Consider the following 22,935-nt stretch of genomic DNA (forward strand, 5'->3'; position numbering starts at 1 on the left):
TGGAGTTTGGCTACTTCTAGGTGAAAAGTGATAAATTCGACAAGAAGGTTTAAAATACAGGGTTTGAATACGAGCATTAAGATTACCACCATTAATAGGGGTCCTTTAGACTATAACTGACAGTTATAGTCTAACTGTTAGTTATACCAGTTAGTTATACCTGTTGACACCTGTTAGTTATACCAGTGGATTGCAATACTGGTTTGCCTCCACTAGATGCTGCTGTACATTACCAGAAACGTTAATATGAAAGTAACATTTTTCTTGAGAAACGCATACATTTCCCCTTGGCTTGCCACTAGAGAATAACCTTAGGCTTAGGCCATTTTTATAACTTGTAATATGATTGGGAGAGATACGTTATTGGGTGGCTAAAATAACTTTAGCATTAATTTTGACAATTCCTTTTCTTTAATTATTGAATTGTTTTATGACTTGTATAGACTCTGTTACAACATACTTAAACGTTTTTACTTGTTTTAAATACTCATTCTTTAAACAACCAGTCATTTCTTTTTAGGACAAGTATTTACCATACAAAATTTTTCCTTACATAAAATTTCTTTCTTTACAACATTTTTTTCATAGCTTAGAGTGCATTATACTGCCAAACTTCAGTAAAAAATCTTATTAAACTTAATGATGGTAAAACTTTTATGCTTATTTCTTATCAGTAACTATTACTTCTGCTATAAGCAAAACAATCTGGATTAATTTTTTCTGCAATTATTAATCCTGTTATAAGGATAATAATCAGGCAAAATATTACAGCAATTAGAATTTTATAACGAGAATTTCACATTGTAGGTGCCACAGTGTATAGTTCTATTGCAAATAATAGCGTGACTATAATCATTCCCACAAGAGTGGCGTAGTAAATAATTTTTCTCTAAAACTTTACTTGCCAATATATAACATTTTCCTTTGGGGATTTAAAAAGTTACAAATGTGATCCTATGTATATTTGAAAATCTCCTATAAATATGTGTTAAAAAGAAGTTGTAATATTTGGTGGTGAATTTGAGAGGAAAGGGTAGAAACAATAAAATATTTGGTGAGGTAGGAGTGGGACTGAGTAAGATGGGTAGCCCTTAGTTACTTATTTTTTATGATTTTCAGCTTAAGATCTTCTATTTTTTTACACTGATATTCAAGACGTTCCTCTGGGCTGTCAGAGGTTGCTCCCAAGCTCTTCGGGCTTGACTTGAGGGTGATGTATCCAGGAGTCGATTCCTGTAATTTTTACTGAGGGGGTTGAAAGAAAAACAGTGTAAGGCTCTTCCCAGGTTGGGTTAGGGGAGGAGACAGAGATGAGAGTTTACACTAATACCAAATTTCCTGGGTTAAATACAGGTGGTTTCTGTTGGAAGTGAGCTAGAAAGTTTACATGCTTAACCAATTTAGAGGCTTCCTGCCTGAAAACAATCTCTGAGCACATTGAAGTTTTATCCTTTCCCAAGTGAAAAGCTAGGTGAAGGATTTTAAGGACTTTCCATTGGCTGGAGGCTGGCAAATAGTGTTTGTCATCCTGACTGTAGCCATCCTAAGGGCTTAAAAGAATGCCTTTGACAAGTGGCCTATTTTATTTTTGTAAGGGATACTGAGGTTTAATTTTTCTTACGGAGCCTTCCTAGATTAGAAGGGGCTTGAACTGTACTAACGCTTTGAGGCTTTTTGCCTCTGACTTATCTGCCTGATTAGCTAATCTATTTCCTTCAGCTACCTTATTTGTTTCCTTTTGATGTTCCTTACAACACATCCCTGATATTTCTCATGGAAGAAAAACTGAGGATAATAAACGGTTAATTTCCTGGTGATATTTTATAGGAATTTATGGGTGATAAGAAAATGCCTTTCCCTTTAAATGGCAGCATGAGCACAGAAAATTAGGAAAGCATACTTGGAGTTAGTGTAACTGTTAGCTACCTTTCCCTTGCTTAATTTAAGTGCTTTTTTAAAGAGCAATTAGCCCAGCTAATTGAGTACTTCTGGCTGGGGAGAGATGTTATTTAGAGCGACTACTGCTTATCCCACCTTATGAATGCTTGCTTTACTAACTGTTTGTTAGCTAAGAGTTCCCCCTAGAGGACAGTGATCCTGCCACCTTATGTGGAGTGTAAACAGTTAAATTATGTCCTAGGGCTAATTTGGAGGCTTTTCTGACTAGTAGTGCTATCGTGACTATGGCCTGGAAACATGTGTAAATAATTGCAACTAACGTTGAGAAAAATATTGGATTAGAGTTTTTCCTGAGATGACCCTTACAGTCATGCTATGGGAAGAGGGGAGGCCTGGATTAGAGAGGAGAAAAGAGAGAGACCAGCTTTAGTGTTTAGAAGGAGGTTTACTTTCCTTCCTTTAATTTCCAGAATCACCTGGGGCTTCTGTGCTATAATGGCAGTTTGAGCCACTGGAACTGGGGCTTGAGCCCTGGGACCCATGAGTCCTGCTGAACCACCTGAGAGACTGGTTCTGAACCCAGTGATCTCTGTCTCTGGGGGCAGTTCAGTTTCCAGAGGTCTCCACCACAGGCTGGGCAGGTTTGAGGTGGCTTTGTCTTGCTGCCTGGGCATTCCTTTTTAAAATGCCCTGGTCTGCCACACTGATAGCAACTAGCAAATGCACCTTGGGGATCCTGGACTTTGCAAGCCTGCAAAGCTGCTACCAGAGGCTTTGTTCCTATCCTGAATGCTCTGCCTTTCCTTTGGGCCTCCTCCTGGTCCATATTATAAAGACCAAAGTAGCCACCTTCAGGAGGTCCCTTAAGGTGCTATCTGGTCCTGTAGCTTGCTTCTGTAGCTTCCTTCTAATATTGGGAGCTGCCTGTGTAATAAACTTGTCCTTCAGGATGAGCTGCTCCTTGACTGAATCAGGGGATAAGGATGTGTGCTCCATTAGTGCCTTTCTTAGCCTTTCCATAAAGGCTACAGGATTCTTATTTGGCTCTTGGCCTATTATACACAGTTTAGAATAATTGAGAGGTTTGGCCTTCCATAGGCCCTTTAAAATGGATAATAAAAAGTGCTTCCTTTTCCTTTTATTTTCTGGGCTATTGGGGTTTCAATCAGGGTTGTTTACTAGAACTGCTTCTCTCCCTATTGGGAATGGTGTTTCTGCTTTTTTCTGTCTTTTTTTTTTTTTTTTTTTTTTTGCTTTTCCTATCTGTTTTTTTCTCTTTTAGTGTATTATAGGAGATATATTGCATATCTCCAAAATTCTTTGCTGCTTGCAGAGCTGCCTGCTTTTTAGCTGTCATTAGGGTCTGGTTTAGAAGCAACGTAACATCCCTTTATGTGAGGTTAAACACCTGAGATCAATTTTGGAAAACTTCTGTATACCTATTATGGTCTTTAGGAAATTGGCCTAAGTTTCCTTTTATTTGCCTAAGGTTCTGTTATGAGAATGGAACTTGAGGGGGCCCCAAATAAGAGGGAATTCTTAGATGATTCCCCTGGAAGTTGCTTTTTTAATTATGGGGAACCATTCCCTCTGGGCCTACCCAAAACGATTGCTAAAAGAGCTGGATTGATCTTACAACACCTGCAAAGGTTTAGTAAAAATGCCATGCCCTTCTGCAAGAGCAAATTAGTCACTTTCCTCTTCAAATTCCTGAAGTTAAGGAAGTTCCAGTGTTTTAGACTGCACTTCAGAGGGTTGCAAGCTGAAGATAATCTGTTACTCATCTAGAAAAAGAAGTGAGAATAAAAGTGTCCTCTTAGTCTCCTTTCTTTCCGTGTAACCCAGAGCAGAGAAGAAGACAGGGAGAATTCTCTGACTGCTTCCCCTCCCTGGTTTCTGGATCCCGACACCATGTTAAATGTGCTGTCCATGGTTGAAGGCGTGGTCCTGCAAGCCATGGAACTGGATGAACTAGGTGATGGGGCTAACCACGCTTACCCACACAACCTTAGCTTATCTGCCTTGTGTGATTCCCCTTTGACTTCCTAAACCTGTGGATTTGCCTGGCTCCCCAAAAAATGGATCTCCAGAGAGACTGTGTCGCCTTTGGGCAAGACTCCTTTAACAGAGACAATGTGCTAGATTGCCTGCTGTTATGGCCCATGCTAAAGCATTTATCCTTTAAACAAATGCTTTTGGATAACTTCCGAACTTAAAATCCCCTTATTAATTAAGTACTGTTTTAACTGGAGACAGATTTAAGTGCATTAAAAGAACATAGGAACCGAATGGCCATTTTCCTGCTGATGGGACAATATTGAGACTAAATTCTGGCTATGTAAGACATATGTAAAGCCTTCCCATTCACAGAAGTAGCATAGATCCTACTTTCCAGTAGAATAGCTCAAAAAGGAAAAGTTGGAAAGCTGCAGTGTACCTCAGAGAGCCAGCACTGCGTCTCATGAAGTGGATTTCTATTTCCACTAGGTGGGGCAGTTGGATGAGAAATACCACGTGCTCGCCAGAGAATCAGTAGTGAATAACCTTACCTTGGGGGGAATGGGGAGAACTCTGTTCCTAGAAGATTGCAATGGCATTTTCCTGAGTTTGTTTCCCAGGCACTACACCACTTCCTGATCTTGCCTAACAGGATTATTTCCCTAGGCTGTAAGCATTCCCGCACATTCTATACACAGAGAGAGAGTAAGAGGCCGCAGATAGAGAGAGAAAGAAAGTTTGGTGACAGGGTAGCTGGATGAGAGCCTTTAGATTAAAGGGCATATTCAAAGTTGAGGTTTGCTGCATACCTAGCCTTTCAGTGAATGATTTCCCAGTCAACACACCAAAATGATACAGCTCCGATGACTGGAGAACACCAGGGTCCTTGGTCTTGCGCCCATAGGATTAACTACACAGACATATGTGGAGTGGTTTCAAGGAGCAAAAAATTTAATAGGCAAGAAAGAAGAAAGATAGAAGTAAACAGCTCCCCTGTACAAAGGGAGAGGGCTCAGAACAAAGAGGAACACTGTGTGCAGCAGAAAGGCAGTCCATTATATTGGGAGGCTGGAGGAGATGGCGTCTGGTTTGCATGGGGGATTGGTTTGACCAGGGGTGTCATTCACATAGCCCACAAAAAACCTGGCCTTCCCACCTTAGCCCTTTAATATGCAAATGTGGGTCACCATGATGTTTTGAACACATGGTATTATGTGGGGGCAGCCACGACACTTGGCACACTGGGTGACAAGGAGAAAACAGAGAGAATCACCATGTTGGGTAGACCCAGTTTCTATTTTCCGGCTTTTGCATATCAAAGCTTGCCGGTCTGGCTCTTTAAGCCACCTTTCTGTTAGTTTCCACCAAGAACTTTTACCCTGTCTAGCTTCCTAAAATTATTTCTTAATAACTTCTGTATTATTAGCATCAAAAGCACTACACTTCTTTGAAATATGCTTATCAAAGGAAGCGAAAATTTTGCACAATGAAAACTACCAAATATTAATTATATTTTTTAAATTTAAAATTTTAATGTGGTTCTAAAAATATCAAAATAATGAAAAGATATTATATTTTCATGAATCAGAAAACTGTCATATTATTATGGCAAATGCCCCAAATTGATCTAAGATTCAATGAAATCCTCATTCAATAATAATAATAAAAATCCAGATGGAGTTATCTTCTGGAAGATTTTACACCTATTCCTTACCCTGTCCAATAAGTCAACTTCAGATCTACCACTTTTTAATATTAAAATATTGTCATATCTCTATAAATGTCTTGTAACATTTTTTCAGTGTTCAAACTTGGACTCCAGGAACAGAACAGAAGTTCAATTTCCTATTTCGTTACCTTGATTTTACACAGTAGCCTTCTTTCTATAGCAAAGAAGGTAAGGTATTCAGAACATCACAGAACCATTCATCTACATAGTAAATGTATTTGTCTCTAATGAAAACAATGTATTATAAAATCACTGAAAAGTTTCTAGTTTTAAATGTTTCTCAAAAAATAATGATCTATGTTGATAGCTACAGATTCCTTCAAATCAGTTGGTGTCAAAGACAGATTTCTATAGGTATGACAGATTTATAAACCACATCTATCATTATTAAAAAATCTTAACAAGTAAGAAATAAATGCTAGGATATTTTATTTCCCTTTAACAAGGAAGAAGTTAATATTACCTTCTTCCAAATGATAAAATTTGGTCATTTGTATATAATATACTTACATCTAAAGATATCAGTTATGAGTCTATTCCTTTTTTTTTCTTTCTTATTCAGTAATAGGAAAAGACATTTAGTAATAATAACACCTGGATCTTCCATTGATTCAGAAGTTGAAAGGAAAATTAAGTCTGTTTCCTTAATTAGACTAATAGCTTCTAACAGAAGTAAGCTATGTAGAGTTGCTAGAAGGAGAGCCTAGAAGCAATTTGCATCAGTGTCAAATGCAAACCATGCCTAGAGGTTTTGTATCCTAAGAACTCAAGCTAAGGTAGGAAGAGCTAGTATAATTAAACCAGGGCGAAACTATAAAACCCACCCTGTAGCACCAAAGAACATTGAAATGTCACACCTGAGAGTAGTAGCTTTCCAAAAAATGATTTTAAGTGAATTTTAACAATCACAGTATCAATACTTTCTTTTATTAATACATAGAACAGTAAGCACATTAAAAATAATAGTGTATATTAAATTATAGATGTAAGAGTATCGGTTAAGCCCAGAGACATCCTTTGATGTACATGTGGATATTAAAAAGTGTTGTAATATCTCCCCTTTGTTTAAGCCACATTGATTGGGAACCACTGAATACAACAAAATGTTGGATTTTATTACTTTGTTCAACTAAACTCAATGAATGAACAGTCATCATCTCTTAAATTAATAATGTGTCAAAAATCAAGGATAAAATTATTCCCATATATGATCAATAAAATAAGTAGTTAAATAAATATATTCAAATAATTAAATGGTGAATTAATATATAAAAATTTCAGATTAATTTATGTTTAAATTATAATTTATTATCACATGTCTTCCCTTTGCTTTGTGAATGGCTTTAATGTCTAAAGCAAAAATTTATTCTTTCTGCAGTCAGTAGTATGAATGTGCAAAAGAAAAAATAGTGAATGAGGGGAGGAGGAGGGAGAGAGAGATAAGAGAGAGAGAGAGAGATTTCTCACCTGGAACAGAGATTGATATATGCTCGAGAGACTAAATGTGTCCATTTGGAAGACAGAAAAAATCGTATAAAATGAATATAGTTAAATGTTTCACATCTTTGTTGGGATGAGAACTAAAAGGGAGATTATGTTGACTAAAAGGAAATGAAATAAATGTCAGACATTTTGCACAACTGACTTTGCGATACAAGATTCAAACCTCCCACAATCAGAAGAAAGTTTATAAATAATGCTAGAGGTAAGTTACATGGTTAATACTAATGAACAGAGAATAAGTGATTTGGAAGATTTTGGTGTTATGAATGATGTTAAGGGTCCTTTAAAACCAAAAATACCATCTTAAAATAGCATTTTAATAAAATCATTTAATTCTACTAAGTTATTTATTTAAAACTTAGTATTTAAAAAATTTGTTATTTGAATGTCAATGTCATTAAGAAAATATTTTATTTTGGTTAACAATGCCTAAGCTTTCATTCTCAACATAAAAGTTAACAGTGACCCATGAAACATATCAGATTAGTTAAGGCTTTTGTTCAGAACTCTCCAAAGGCTTTTCCTCTCATCCCAAAAAACTTCAAAGTTCTTACAAGCACCTAAAAAATTCTACATGACCTGACCCTTAATTCACTTATATCTGACATCATCTTCTACTCCTCTTTGCCTTGCTTGGTGGTCTCTCGCTCCATTGGCCTCCTTAAAAATGAAGCCGCATTCCCTCTTTAGGGTATTCCTCCTTTTGTTTTCTGTAATTAATTATCTCCCACTCCCCACATAGAAATCCAAATGCCAATTCCTGTCAACTTTCTCAGGGTTATTCAATATCTGTTTTTCAATATGGTCTTCTTTGTCCACTTGTTAAAAATGGCAACCCCACTTCACTTCTCTCCTTTTGTTCTTCTCCATAGCACATAAACGTATGATACTCATTTATTTTCTTATGCTGTATTTTCCCCCAGCAGAATGTAAGCTCCTTTTAACCAGGAGTAATTGTCCATGTGGATCACTGCTATATTCCCAATGCGTGGAACGGTGCCTATGTGTGAATGGGTAGAGGATCTCCCGTACATACAACCTATACACCTATAGTTTTTTGTTGTTGTTGTTGACGTTGTTTTATTCAGCATATTCTAACAATAACGAAAACATGTAAAATAGATGGCAATATCTACAGTTCTTAGCTGCCAAATATACAAGTCTAAATTTGAAAAACTAGGCAAATGTCAGCAAAAGTGTAAGAAAGCATCCAATTCTCTCTCTCTCAACTATTTGGCTTTCTTGAGATATTTGTTAACTCCAACATTAGTTTAAAGTTATTTTTGGCAGCAGAACTTTATTATGTTTTTTCAAATAGAATTATAAGCATCATCATAGTAGATAATTCAGAACAGACAAAGCTGATGAAGTGGGTGAGCAGGATAGAGGTCATTAGAGCCCTGTTAGTCTCTGAGGCTTTGCCACGTTATATCAGGACTCCAAATATTACATGTTAAAAACCACTGGTGTTTTATATATTTATTGTTAAACTGATAATATTTACCTACCTCTTTCATTTTTTTGGTAATTTTTCCATCAGATTCCTTTTATCTGATATGTTTTCTTCCTTTCTTTCTGGTGGTTTATAATCAGTTTTGCTGATTCTGCTCAAATTCACTGTCTAAAATAGTAATAAGGCCAGGTTCTTAGTTTGTTGTTTTTGTTTTAGGTCAAGATCTGTCTTTCAAATTTTAGAGTCTGGATAATCCCATGGACTACTTCAGAATAATATTCTTAGATTCATAAAATAAAATGCATGAGGCTGAAATAAGGGCATTATTAAAATGTATATTTAAAAATTTTCTTTTATATATAAGGTATATGCTTCATTTGTAATACATTAAGTAATACAATCTAGTTTCTGCTTCATTTTGAAGTAGCGATATCTTTGACAACTTTATTATGATATTAATATCTGATTTTCCAGTTGATAAAGTCACAGGCGCTGCCAATAATGCTGTTTGTTGCCCATATTCGTAACTGAAGAAAGTCAGTGAAAATACAGTGTATATTTTTCTCATTCATGTGCATGGATCATGGCAATATTTCCCGTATCAATAATTCTTGGGATGGGGGAAATTAATGATTCAAAGCTACTTTACTAGAAATGAGAAAATAATTTTGCCATTGATTTTATTCTAGCTGATTGAACTTTTATCATTATATAAAGATTTTCTACATTGAGAAAAATGCTTTTTGGTTTTAGTTTATATTGCCAAATATTCACATAGATACCCCACTTTTATGTAGCTGGCATTTTCATGGTTTCTTTTTTTTTATCACTTCAATTTTATACATTTTCATGGTCTTGTGTTTAAGATATGCACGTTACAATGGTATCTAGTTGACTGGAGTTTTTATATATATATTTCTATTGGAAGTATGTCTTAGAATATTATTTGATATCTATTGGACTATTATTTGCTATTTTCCACATGCTCTATTCTCTCTTTCTCTCACCCACAATTCCACCCTTCCTTTCTACCTCTAGTCTTATTGTGAATTGAGTGTGTGCTTTTTAAAATCTTTTGTTCTAACTATGATATAGGAACAATATACTATTTCCATAATTTTGATTATTACCCAATAATTTAGAACTGAATAGTCTCTAAGGCATAACAATAACTTAATGCCCTTCAGAATAGTAAAAGTTTCTGTATCCATCACCCGACCTGAATGCTACCACACTCAGTATTTTGATTTAGTCTTTAATACCATAATTTAATATTGTAATTGTTATTACTAGTATTCTGCTTGTTTGTTTAAATTTACCTACATGTTAACCAATTTCTCTGTTTACCCTTCCTTCCAGTATATTAGCCTCCTTTATAGTATGTTTTATTACTAAGAAAACTTCCCTTTAACATAGATCTATTACTGGTAATTGCTTATAGTTTTATTTTCCCCTTTTTATGTGTATTTTTCTCATGTAATTGAAAGATAGCTTGCTCTATAGAAAATTCTAGTATTCTCATTTCCCTTTGACTAAAAATTATCTTTTGTCTTCTTTTGTCACACTTCACAAATCTTCATCCAGGAATCTGTAATCTGTTATCCCATTGTAGATTACCTGTCTTTTTTCTAAGCGCTTTCATAATTCTATATTTGTTTTTGGCATTTCACAGTTTTACTACATACAAATTTATTTTCATTCATCCTACTTGGTACAAATTGTGATTTCCGTATTAGTTATTAATGCTTTTCATTGAGTCTGGAAATTCCTCAATCATTAATTCTTTATCTTGTCATCTTCCTGTTTTCTCCTTCTGGAACTCAGAGTAGAGAATGTGAGGCTTTCTAAATACTCCTTACCATTTTTTCATATTTTCAATTTTCTGGTGTTCCTGGAGTACCTTCTATATAACTTCTTCACATTTTCTTTTCATTTCCCTAAACCCCTCCTCAGCTCTCTGAAATCTGTTCTTTAACTCATTCAATTCATTTTCCAAATTTTAAAATAGTATCTATCTGGCTTTTTGCCAAATCTTTCTTGTGCCTTCTATTCTTTCTCACTGTTTGTTTTTAATAATTTCATTTTACAATAATATGTCTTCTTTTACATTATTCTTTAAAAACATTCATTCTAAATGCTAATTTTATGCTCTCTGATAATTCTGATATCTGACATCTTTGAAGGACTAATTATACTATTTGTGTTCTACTAATTCTCACTAATGATCCATCCTTCACTCTTTGATACCTTTTGGTTATGAACTCTTAATAGGCTGATCTTATAAGTGGAAATTCAGGGTCTAAATTTCAGACTCTGTCCTCTACATGGATTTTGCATTTGTTTCTTTTAGAAGTCAAAAGTAACTACTAAGCCAGGACCACATTATCTCCTTTGCATCTGCCTTGGCTTAATCTGAAGATTTCAGATACTGCTCGTCTGCCTTATCCACTAGCCAAATACTTCATTTCATTGCTGAAATACTGACATACACACTTGTTTTTTCAGGGAAACCTATTTTTAGTACGTTTCCTCACTTCTCAGATGCCATCACTTCTCCGATTTCATTTTTCATCTCCACTCTTTCTCTCCTTCTTTGATATTTATTTCTTGTTACCAATGGAATACAATGAAAATTATGTTTTTGCAGTGTAAATGACTATTAAGAACATCTATTTTAAATGTTATTTCAAAACTATTTTTAAGGCAAAGCATAATAAACCTTAGATACTGACTTTTATATAAATGAGGGTAGAAGAAATAATTAACAAATGAAATTTGTTATTAACCCAGTATAAAATTCAGAAGTAGTATTGAATGTTACAAAATGACACTGTGAGATCATTACTTCCTTGGTTACTCTCTCTCTAAAATTAAGCGATTGACTTTCCTCTGTAAGCTTTGGTTTTAGAACTCTGAAATGGGGAAACTAATAATACACAACTTATATTATTTTATATTTGTTCTCAGTTCTGTTCCACCTAGTAAATGCTCAATATGGGGTAGCCATTATTTGTCACTATTATCATTACTTGTTAGATAATGCAGAGATAAGAAAAGGAAAGAACAGGGAGAATACCAGAACAGCAAGAAAGTTGATCAGGAACAAAAATTCAGTTGTATGTGGTGTAAGATAAAAAGAGAGCAGGAAACTGAGAGAAACAGAGAGATAAAAGGAAACATAAACAAGCATAAAGGCTCTTGAAATAAGTTATAGCAAAAAAGAGGTCTTTTGGTTCAGACAGAATAGAGCAGATACAAATAAGGAAAACTGAATTACGGAGAAACAAATTAAGAGAAAAATAAGAAGGCAGTGAGAGACTGTAGGTACTGAGTTGAATTATATTTGTAAATATTTATACTTAAGTCACTGGGTTTCAAAAAAAAGTAAATATCACTGATTATAACATTTCTTTGAATTCAGGTTATTTCTAAAGTATTTTCAATTATTTATGAATGTTATTACAGGCTTCTTCAATTCATTTTTCTATTTATATAATTCAATTATATAAAACAATATTTAGTATTTTAAATATCTACTTTTACAAGAAAAAAACATTAAAATGTATATTCTTAAGAAGGTCAAATTATACCTAACTGGCCAATTTTTTAAATTCAGTTGTATTAATTTATTTCTACTGCCTATTCTGTAATTGTCTGAACTTACAGCAAAGGTCATGTTTGTAATTATTATCAGCAGTGGAAAAAAAAGAAAACCCAGAGAATCTCTATATAGTTTGATTCAATCATTGGAGAAAACATATAATAAGAATCAAAACACAGAATATAGTTTCCAGGAAGACAGAAGCTACATTTTATATGTGTTCATGGCCATAAAATCTATTGAAATGTTTGACATATATGAATAAACAAATGCATGAATAAAGCACTGAATATATAGGAAGGTAAGAAAAGTGGGAGGAAAACAGACATTTATGGAATGCCTGGCAAGATGTATTCAACATCTCTCTTTTGTGTGCCATTTAATATGCATAACTGTCTTATTTGATAGGAATTACCCTGCCCATTTTCAGACTAAACTGAAGTTCAGGGACTCTTAGTAACTCACTCAAGGTCACATTGATATTCAGTAGTATATTCAAGTTTCCTATTATAGTTTGCTAGGTTTCAAACCCATTAACTTTCCACTACATTTTACTACATCACCAGTACAAAAATATAATTCTCATAATTAAGTAATTAGATACCTTATTAAGCTTCAGAAATCTATCATTATTAATACAGATTCAGCAACTCACTTACTATGAAGGATTATTTTCTAGGCTGCAACTTACCTCACCTTATTCAAATTCAATTGAATATAGTATATGGAAAACTGCACAAGCAGTCCTGAAAACAAGTTTCTAGTCCTACTTATGGCATCAGCTAGCAACATGGCTTTGGAAAATTTACCTAATCTTTACTATCTATTATTAAATATTTTGTAAAATAAGATTTAAACTAAAATGTCCCCAATAATCAGTTCAGATAATTTAAAAACTTCATCAATATTTTCATCCTGTAAAACCAACTATAAATCATAGCACTTTGTAAATTAAACATCTGAGTGTCATATGCCTACCTGTCCATTCCCAGTGCATTTCACATGCCTTTTCATCACTTAACACTCTTTTCCTAATGGAAAATCCATCTATTTCTTGATGTCTAATTGCTTTCATGGTAGACATAATCCTTGCTTGAGTTGACATTTGTGCATAGGGTCACTGACTAAAATTTGTTCTACTCAAATTCTAAAAGTCATTACAATTTGTAATTATGCTTTTGTATACCTTCTTTTCTCATTTTAATCATAGTGCCTATGAAGAATTCACATAGAATTTGAAATGAGTTGGTAACCAAAGTTTAGTGGCTGGTAGTAATTCACATTAATTCTAAGTCCATGATATATCCTGTGCATATTTGTATTGTGAACCCTGAAAATTTGATACAGGTCTCAGTTAATTTAGAAAGTTTATTTTGCCAAGGCCAGGTGCGGTGGCTCATGCCTGTAATCCTAGCACTTTGGGAGGCCAAGTCGGGTGGATCACGAGATCAGGAGATCAAGACCATCCTGGCTAACACGGTGAAACCCCGTCTCTACTAAAAATACAAAAAAATTAGCCGGGCATGGTAGTGGGCGCCTGTAGTCCCAGCTACTTGGGAGGCTGAGGCAGGAGAATGGCATGAAGCCAGGAGGCGAAGCTTGTAGTGAGCCGAGATCGTGCCACTGCACTACAGCCTGGGCAACAGAGCCAGACTCCATCTCATAAAAAAAAAAAAAAAAAAAAGAAAAAAATTTATTTTGCCAAGAGTGAGAACATGCACCCATGACACAACCTCAGGAGGTCCTGACGACATGTGCCCAAGGTGGTCAGAGCACAGCTTGGTTTTATACATTTTTAGGGAGTTATGAGGCATCCATCAACATATGTAAAATAAACATTGGTTTAGTTCGGAAAGGTGGGACCACCCGAAGCAAAAGCAAAGCAGGACGACTTGAAGCAGGGAGGGGGCTTCCAGATCACAGATAGGTGAGAGATAAATGGTTGCATTCTTCTGAGTTTCTGATTAGCCTTTCCAAAGGAGGCAATAAGATATGCATTTATCTCAGTGAGCAGAGGGATGAGTTTGAATAGAATGGGAGGCAGGTTTGCCCTAAGCAGTTCCAAGCTTGAATTTTCCCTTTAGCTTAGTGACTTTGGGGGCCCAAGATATTTCCTTGCACAGTATGTGTGTGAATATATAAGTATTCACCTTCCAGGTGCTTGGACAGGCTGGTGTTGAGTGTCTGTGGCTTTTCCAGGCACATGGTGCATGCTATCAGTGGATCTACCATCTGGGGTCTGGAGAACGGAGGTCCTCTTCTCACAGCTCCACTAGGCAGTGCCCCAGTAAGGACTCTGCATGGGGGCTCCTTCCCCACATTTCCCTTGGGCACTACCCTAGCAGAGGTTCTTCATGAGGGCACTGCCCCTGCAGCAAGCTTCTACCTCGACATCCAGGCATTTCCATACGTCCTCTGAAATATAGGCAGAGGTTCACAAACCTCAATTCTTGACTTCTGTGCATCTGCGGGCTCAACACCATGTGAAAGCTGCCAAGGCTTGGAGCGTGCACCCTTTGAAGCTTGAGATGTACCTTGGCCCTTTTTAGCCACAACTGGAGCTGAAGCAGCTGAAATGCAGTGCACCAGGTGCCAAGGCTGCATAGAGCAGGGATGCCCTGGACCCGGCCCAGGAAATAGTTTTTCCCTTCTAGGACTGTGGCCCTGTAATGGGTGGGGCTGCCATTATGATCTTGGACATGCCCTGGAACATTTTCTCCATTGTCTTGGTGATTAACATTTGAGTCCTTGATATTTATGTAAATTTCTCCCCAGAATATGGGTTTTTCTTTTTTTCTTTTTTTTTCTTTTTCTTTTCTTTTCTTTTTTTTTTTTTTTTTTTTGAGACAAAGTCTTACTCTGTCACCCAGGCTGCAGTGCAATGGTACAACTGTCAGCGCACTGCAACCTCAACTCCCAAGTTCAAGTGATTGTCCTGCCTCAGCCTCCGGAGTAGCTGGTATTACAGGCACTTGTCACCACTCCCAGCTAATTTTTGTATTTTCAGTAGAGATAGGGTTTCACCATGTTGCCCAGGCTGGTCTTGAACCCCTGACCTCAGGTGATCCGCCCACCTTGGCCTCCCAAAGTGCTTGGATTACAGGCTTGAGCCACCGTGCCCGGCCGAAAATGGGATTTTCTTTTCTATCACATTATTAGGCTGCAAATTCTCTAAACTTTTATGTTCTTCTCTCACTTGAATGCTTATTGCTTAGAAACTTCTTCCACCAGATACCCTAAATCATCTCTCTCAAGTTCAAAGTTCCACAGATCTCTAGGGCAGGGGCAAAATAGGGACAGTCTCTTTACATAGCAAGAGTGACCTTTATTCCAGTTTTCAACAAGTTCTTCATTTCCATCTGAGACCATGTCATCCTGGACTTTATTGTTCATGTCACTATCAGCATTTCATCCAACAAGCCTCTAGGAAGTTCTAAACTTTCTCACTTCTTCCTGTCTTCTGATCACTCCTAGTGTCTAGGAAGTTCCAAACTTTCCCACATTTTCCTGTCTTCCCTGAGCCCTTCAAACTGTTCCAGCCTCTTCATGTTACCCAGTTCCAAAGTCACTTCCACATTTTTGGGTATCTTTACAGCAGTGCCCCACAGCTCTTAGTACCAATTTACTGTACTAATCCATTCTCACACTGCTATAAGGACATTTCCAAGACAGGGTAACTTACGAAGAAAAAGAGATTTAATGGACTCACAGTTCCACATGGCTGGGGAGGCCTCACAATCGTGGCGGAAAGTCAAGGGGGAGCAAAGGCCCATCTTAGTAGGTGGCAGGCAAGAGAGCATGTGCAGGGGAACTGACCTTTAGAAAACCATCAGATCTTGTGAGACTTATTCATTATCATGAGAAATGCATGGGAAAAACCTGCCCCATGATTCAATTACCTCCCGCTGGGTGCCTCCCATGACACATGGGGATTATGGGAGCTACAATTCAAGATGAGATTTGGGTGGGGACACAGCAAACCATATCAGGGTGTGATATAAAGAGAGGTTGGTTAATGGGTACAAACATTCAGTTAGGTAGAAGGAAGAAATTCTAATGTTGAATAGTAGAGTAGGCTGACTATAGTTAACAACAATGTATTATACATTTCAAAATAGCGAAGTGAGGACTTCAAAAGGTCTCCACACATAGAAATGATAAATGTACATAGTGATGAATATCTTAAACACCTGACTTGATCATTACATATCAAGTTAACAGGCCCATGTAACACAATATCACATGGACTGCATAAATATTTACAAATACTATGTATCAATAAACTTTTTTAAAATAAATACTTTAAAAAATCAATGTAATGTAGATATCATACATTGCCTTGAGAAAATAAAGTAAAAGAAACACTATTGTGAGGAAATATCAGGAAATATTCATATAATAATGTTAAAACTAAAAATATATTTTCACCAAATTTGGTATATAGAAACTTGTTTCAGACAAGTGAGTCAACATTTTTGCTGATTTAAACTTTTTATTTTCTTTTTACTCTCAAAATCAACACGCTGCGTTTTATTGACTGATATAAGGTATATAATAAAGAAAACATGGAAACAGAGGAAAAAGTAAAATAACTCTTTTTTTGTTGTTGTTTTAATGCACTTGTTGCAAGAATGTTTAAAAATTGTTATATTTTATTCTAAAAGTCACATATCCTTACTATAAAATATCAGTAAAATACTTATAAAAAGGAAAATTAAAGGTTATTTTAATTGTACAGCCTATTCTCATTTTTTTTCTTCCAAGGCTTTATTCTAAGTACATGTATCTTTTAGATTCATGTACATGCATATAATATAGTTTACATTGCATATTTATATTTTACATAGCATTTAACAGTATATATTTTGCAAGGCATTTAATAACATTAACTTCAATAATCATGAATGTGTGTGATTCCAACCTGTCGCTATACCATAATATTTTTAAATATTCCAAGAAGGAATAATATTTGTGTTTCCAATTAAACATTTCTATCAATGGTATTTTAAATATAAAACACTGAGATAAAAACAGAGATGCTTAATTTTATGGCAGTCATTTACATATTATTATTGTTACCTGAGAGCTGTTCTTAGTTTTTCTTGAATTCCAAAGGAAAGGGAATAAATTTTTAAATATGATAGCATAAAAGAGGCCTAATTCATTTTATATGTAGAGAAAAGTATAATTTATTTACTAACAGTGTAGAAAGGAAGCAAAATACTTAGAAAATTCAGGAGACCATATATTTTAGATCTGGTGGTTGGTAAGGAATAAATGTATTGAGAAAGTAATACTGGAAGTCGCAAAATGAGAAGAATTTTGAGGTAATTTCTGGAAGCTTCATCCTTTTTTGTTTCTTTTCATATTCTACTAGCTAATCCAAAAGTGTACTCATTCACAATAAAAATAAATATTTTAAGACAAAATGTGATTTATCAGTATATTTATTTTAAGATCACACTTTCTTTTAAACCTTATTTTCACTGACTTAGTTAATTAAGATAGTTTTGCATATTTCAATAAACAGCACATATTTATTATATTCACTTAACTAAGTTTATGTATATTTTCAAATAAAAAACTACTTTGGTTTTTAGTATCTATCAGAGATCATTGTAATTTTTCTCCACAGGCTTCATATAGCTTGTGAAAAAACAATAACTTCACCACCAACACCCATTCACTATCATGTATCTATGATCAATCTACTGTGTTCTTGTTATAGAGGAAAGGGCATACACTACAGTGACCTCAGAGGGAGATAAACACCACTGCAGTTCGTATACCTGGCTCCTCTTCCTGCCTACAGATAAATCTCTGCCAAGGTGAAGTGGGAAGGAAATAGGAAAGAAAAGCCAGTGGAGAACCACTTTTCTTATCAATTCCATTAACAAAATACAAAGATTCAGAATCTGAAGTCAGTAGACAGTAAATCACTTCACAGCTAACTTCATGTTCACAGAAGCCCTGTGAAAGATTATCAAACAAGAATTCCTTTTCCTGCATGTTCACAGAGTAGAGATAAGCGTAGGATTTTTCGCTAACTCCTTGCTGAAAAATTAATGAGCATTCAGATAATAAGCTCATTTTTTTCCCAAGCCAAATCAGGAAGTTACTTTCTTTCATTCTAGCAGCACAAAGTGAAGCTGGAACCAGATAATATTTGAACCAGATAATTTAATTTTGTAAATATTCCAATAAATGTTTTCTTTATTTTTTTCCATTTTGAGGGAAAAAAAACAACAACTAAGAATTTCTCCTTCATATGATGCTTTGAGAGAACTGTTGAATAATAAACCTTAACTCCAACTAAGGGGTTAATATTTTCGGTCTTTGGATGAAATATGATGGTTGTTAAAGGAAGAGTAGTGATGCTTAGCACTGGAGAGTTAACAGGCCCATATTTCTTAGAAAACTAGATAAAACAAATGGGTTTAAGTGATATCTGAATAATTTTAAGTAAATTTTAAAAAAATCTTTTAAGATTGTCTTCACAACAATATGTAAGAAGTAGAGAAATTCATTGTTTTGAAATGGTTCAGAGGTGAAAAATGCAATATATATTTCCAAATCTCAAACTCTGAGCTGCGCATTTCTCAGAAACCACTTGGCAGTATAATTATAAACTAAACTCATATTACATTATCTGAATTACTTTCTATAATATCCATTCCTTGTTATATATCTCCTCCTTGAAACATTTCTCCTTTATATATTTTAAATACTGCATTGCTCATAATTATAGAGATACTTAACATTTAGGCTTTATGGAAAATAAAACATCTTAAAAGTGATTACGTTCTAATTTGTCTAATAGCATGAATTCTAAGTCTATATTATTTATAAGAAATAATATTCATCTGAGCTGATCCTTCTCCTCCCCCTCATGCACCAGTGGTAAGTACGTGACCCAGAATGAGCCATCTAGTATACCTCGCCACAGTAATTTTCTCCAGGGTAGGAATAAAATTGGGTCAAGACACAAAATAATTATTTCTTCCTTGGCTATTTTGTAGTGAAGTCCTATTTTTTTTTTTTGGTCAAATGTATGAACAAAAAGAGAAATCTAGACTTGATCCCAAGATTCTGACTAAAATTTAGCTATCCTTGAAGCCAGAAGTCTCCTAGAGGTTTCAGTTTATGTAGCGCAATATATACTCTACTTGTGTAAGCAACATGGGTTCAGGATTTTGGCACTTATAAAGAAAAATCACTGTGTAATGAAAGAGGAATTAAACTTATATGTGGAATTCCAGGAATATGAGCCAAGAAGTGAGAAAAGATAGTTTTTTGCTTTGTTTTGATTCTAAAGATGGTGCTCCCAAGCTGTCATTGTTAGATCTTCCCTATGTCAAATACAGATTTTTAAACATGTAGTTACCCAATTATCACTCTTGTTGGGCATCATCTGTATTTCCTCATGAAGAATACCACTGTATTTCATACATTTTGGTAAGAACAGCTTGCGACTTATGGAGAAACACAACACTTTTGGCCTAAAGAGATAAATTACTCACCTTGAACATCTTGAGGAAAGGTGTGTAAATGCACTCTTTTAAAAAATGTAGCATATAAAATATAAATTTTATACTTATTTATTTGATCTCTCTGATCAAGAATTTTCCAAAGCATTCTTCTCAGATGGTGATAAAAGTAGTTGGTAACCACATCTGTCTTTTAACCTCCTTTTAGTGGATTTGCATGTGAAATACGGCAGGTTTACAGCGTATGAGTAAAGGAATGGAAATGACAATTAGACATAGACATTTCATTTTTATGGTGTTTGTGGTATTTTCCTATTAAAAAAAACATAGGTCCTTGATTGACTGTTTAATATTTACTGAGTACCAATATGAGCTCAGTGATATACTTTATTACTGCACTTTGAGATCTCTATGTTTGTACTGCTTCTACTCACTTTGAAAAGAGCATAATCTCTGTTGCCATTGCATCCCATTCTAGGAGACAGAGCAAGACTTTGTCTCAAAAAAAAAAAAAAAAAGAAAAGAAAGGAAAAAAGAAAAGAGCATAATCGCTGGATCAAATGTACTTAGAATATTTGTTGCTAATTTTAGAATATTTGTTGCTAATTTCAGCTAGCAAATGCAGCCATGGCATATTGATATTGTTAAATATAGACATTGTTACAATGAACATGTAGATAATAATATTTCATTGTTTCCTTTATGTATCTGTGTGGAAATTTTTCAAGCAATAGGCTGTAAAAAATTAAGTGCTTTTGTTGACTAAAAATAAACTGTGTCAACAGCAATGGGAAGTTAAGGTAAATATATTTGGAAACAAAAACTTTCAATGAGGGTTTCCTATGTGCCAGTTTCTGTTCTACCTAGGTGCTTTTGCATAGAATTCTTATATCTTATTCTGCAATTCTGGTAATGGGAGATGGATTCAAGAAAATAGATTAGATGGGGGGAAAAGGAAAGAAAATAAAGGAATCACAAAGAAAGTAATATAATGTTTCCAAGGAGGCCAGTCTCCTCAGATATTTCTTTTCTATCCCTGACTATGGCATTAGAATGAATTGACTTTCGAAAAATGTTGAGAGGAAAGATGAAATAAGTCAATTGGACTTAAAGACTAATTTTTCAAGAAAGCTTATAGCACAGTGGAAATATGAGATCATTAGAAATATGCTTTTAGTAGTTGTATCTAAACTGATAAGGATAGTACAATTCAGGCATATGGTTTGGGGAGAAAATGAGATATGCTAAGATCTTAATACAATATTTCTACAGCCAGATTTTTCAGTGAGGATTCAGTCAAGGAAACAGAATCACTATGAGTATTATGGATGAGAGATTCACTATATAAATTTGACCTTTTACCTTTATGGAAGTAGCTGGGGCAGCAAAAGGCTGGGAGAGAAATTAGAGAAACAGAGAAATTGCTAACCAATCAATCTGAAAAGATAAGCATGTCCAGGCACAAATGTGGGACTGAGAAAGAAAACCTCATGGTGAGATCTACAAGAAGCGGCTGCTCTGTGTAGCTGTCATCTCTGTGGGTCCATGGCTAAGCATGTGGTATGGGCCTGGAGCCATGTTGGTTGATGCAATTAGAAAGAAGAACTGAGAAGAGCAAGGAGAAGTTGGAACCCATCGGTGTGTGACAACCTTCAGGGAGTAAGGATCCCTGCTTCTCTCCCATTTTCCAAATCTTATGTACACATTGCTTTTAGCCAACTCTAACCTAGAACCCTACAGGGAAAGGGATTCTGAAAAACATAGTTCCAGCTTAATAACATCAACAGAGTCCAAAACATGACCAAGGTTTGAATATCAAGTTGTCTAAAACTGACCTTTAGAGAAGAAAATCAACCAAAGGGAGTGTATAACCTTGAACAATGCATGCAGAAAAGCACATACCGAGTAGAGGATATATACAACACTTTAACTTGACTAAAGACAATCCATTTTGACCAAAATTTTGGTGTTTATATATGTATAGCTATTGACTGTGACTATGAAAGTGTTGTTCATAAAAACTGACTCCAGGAAAGGCAATGTCACACACAAAACCAAAGTACAAATGATTAGAGAAGAGCAGTTTTCCTGACTAGACAAAGAAAAGCTGCTTGTATTTAGCATTAAAACATAAAGAATGAATGAACAAATGCAAAAAGTCTGAGATAGATGAAAGATACAGAGTAGTCACAGAAAAACTAAAGAAAAGTAGTAGCTATTACGGTTTAAAGAAATTATTGCATAGAGATTGCATAGAGGATTCAAGAGGGACTGCAATGACACCTTTTTTTTTTTTTTTTTTTTTTTTTTTTGAGATGGAGTCTCGCCCTGTCGCCCAGGCTGGAGTGCAGTGGCACGATCTCTGCTCACTGAAACCTCCACCTCCCGGGCTCAAGCGATTCTCCAGCCTCAGCCTCCTGAGCAGCTGGGATTACAGGTGTGCCACCACGCCCAGCTAATTTTTGTATTTTTTTAGTAGATACTAGGTTTCACCATGTTGGCCAGGCTGGTCTTGAACTCCTAACCTCAGGTGATCCGCCTGCCTTGGCCTCCCAGAGTGCTGGGATTACAGGCGGAGCCACTGCGCTCAGCCTGGAATGACACACTTTTAAATATCATTGTCTGAGAAGAAAATTACTAGCATGGGAGGACAATACAGATTCCACGGACTGAACAATGACAAAACAGACAACTGGTAGAGCATAGGGCATCTAGTTAGCTATCTTTTGCTACAACATTGGAATAGTTCTTGATAAAGAGAAATGAGCCACTAAACAGAAGAAGACTATTATTTGAAAAAAATCGTAATAAATATCCCTCTATATTAACCTTTTAGTTAATTCATGATATTTTACTTACTGTGTTATTACAGATTATTTTAGAATTTGCATTTAATTATGAAGTACAATTTGAAGTAATCCATTTGTTATTAAAATACAAAACCCCTTATCCAAGTGGAAATAACCATTTCAAAATAATCTTGATGTACTTATTGGTAATTGCTTACCAACTGGTTCACTGACATTTAGCTGACTCAAACATGAACTGGTCATAATGGGTGTCTCTCTTAGAATACAATTTTATATGTGTTGCTGCATACTGTTAGAAAATTACTAGCAGTTTCCTTAAACATTTCCAACTGTTCTATCTCCCCTCCTTCATCACAGAAGTTGGAAGACTAATGCTACATTGTCATTCTCCATTGCAGGCAGAGTTCAATATCTATTGAAATTTTATAAATAAGAAATACTCATGAGATTTGAAA

The 22,935-nt window shown here is 35.3% G+C and overlaps 1 annotated feature.

The window, feature by feature from the left end:
• Positions 223-272: a silencer, noted in NCBI's record as "silent region_15779". NCBI's record gives its function as "represses an Ori minimal core promoter by ATAC-STARR-seq in GM12878 lymphoblastoid cells {active_cell/tissue: GM12878}" and the evidence as "EXISTENCE:reporter gene assay evidence [ECO:0000049][PMID:35858748]".

Source organism: Homo sapiens, chromosome 4, assembly GCF_000001405.40.
Source record: "Homo sapiens chromosome 4, GRCh38.p14 Primary Assembly".
Taxonomy (NCBI): Eukaryota; Metazoa; Chordata; class Mammalia; order Primates; family Hominidae; genus Homo; species Homo sapiens.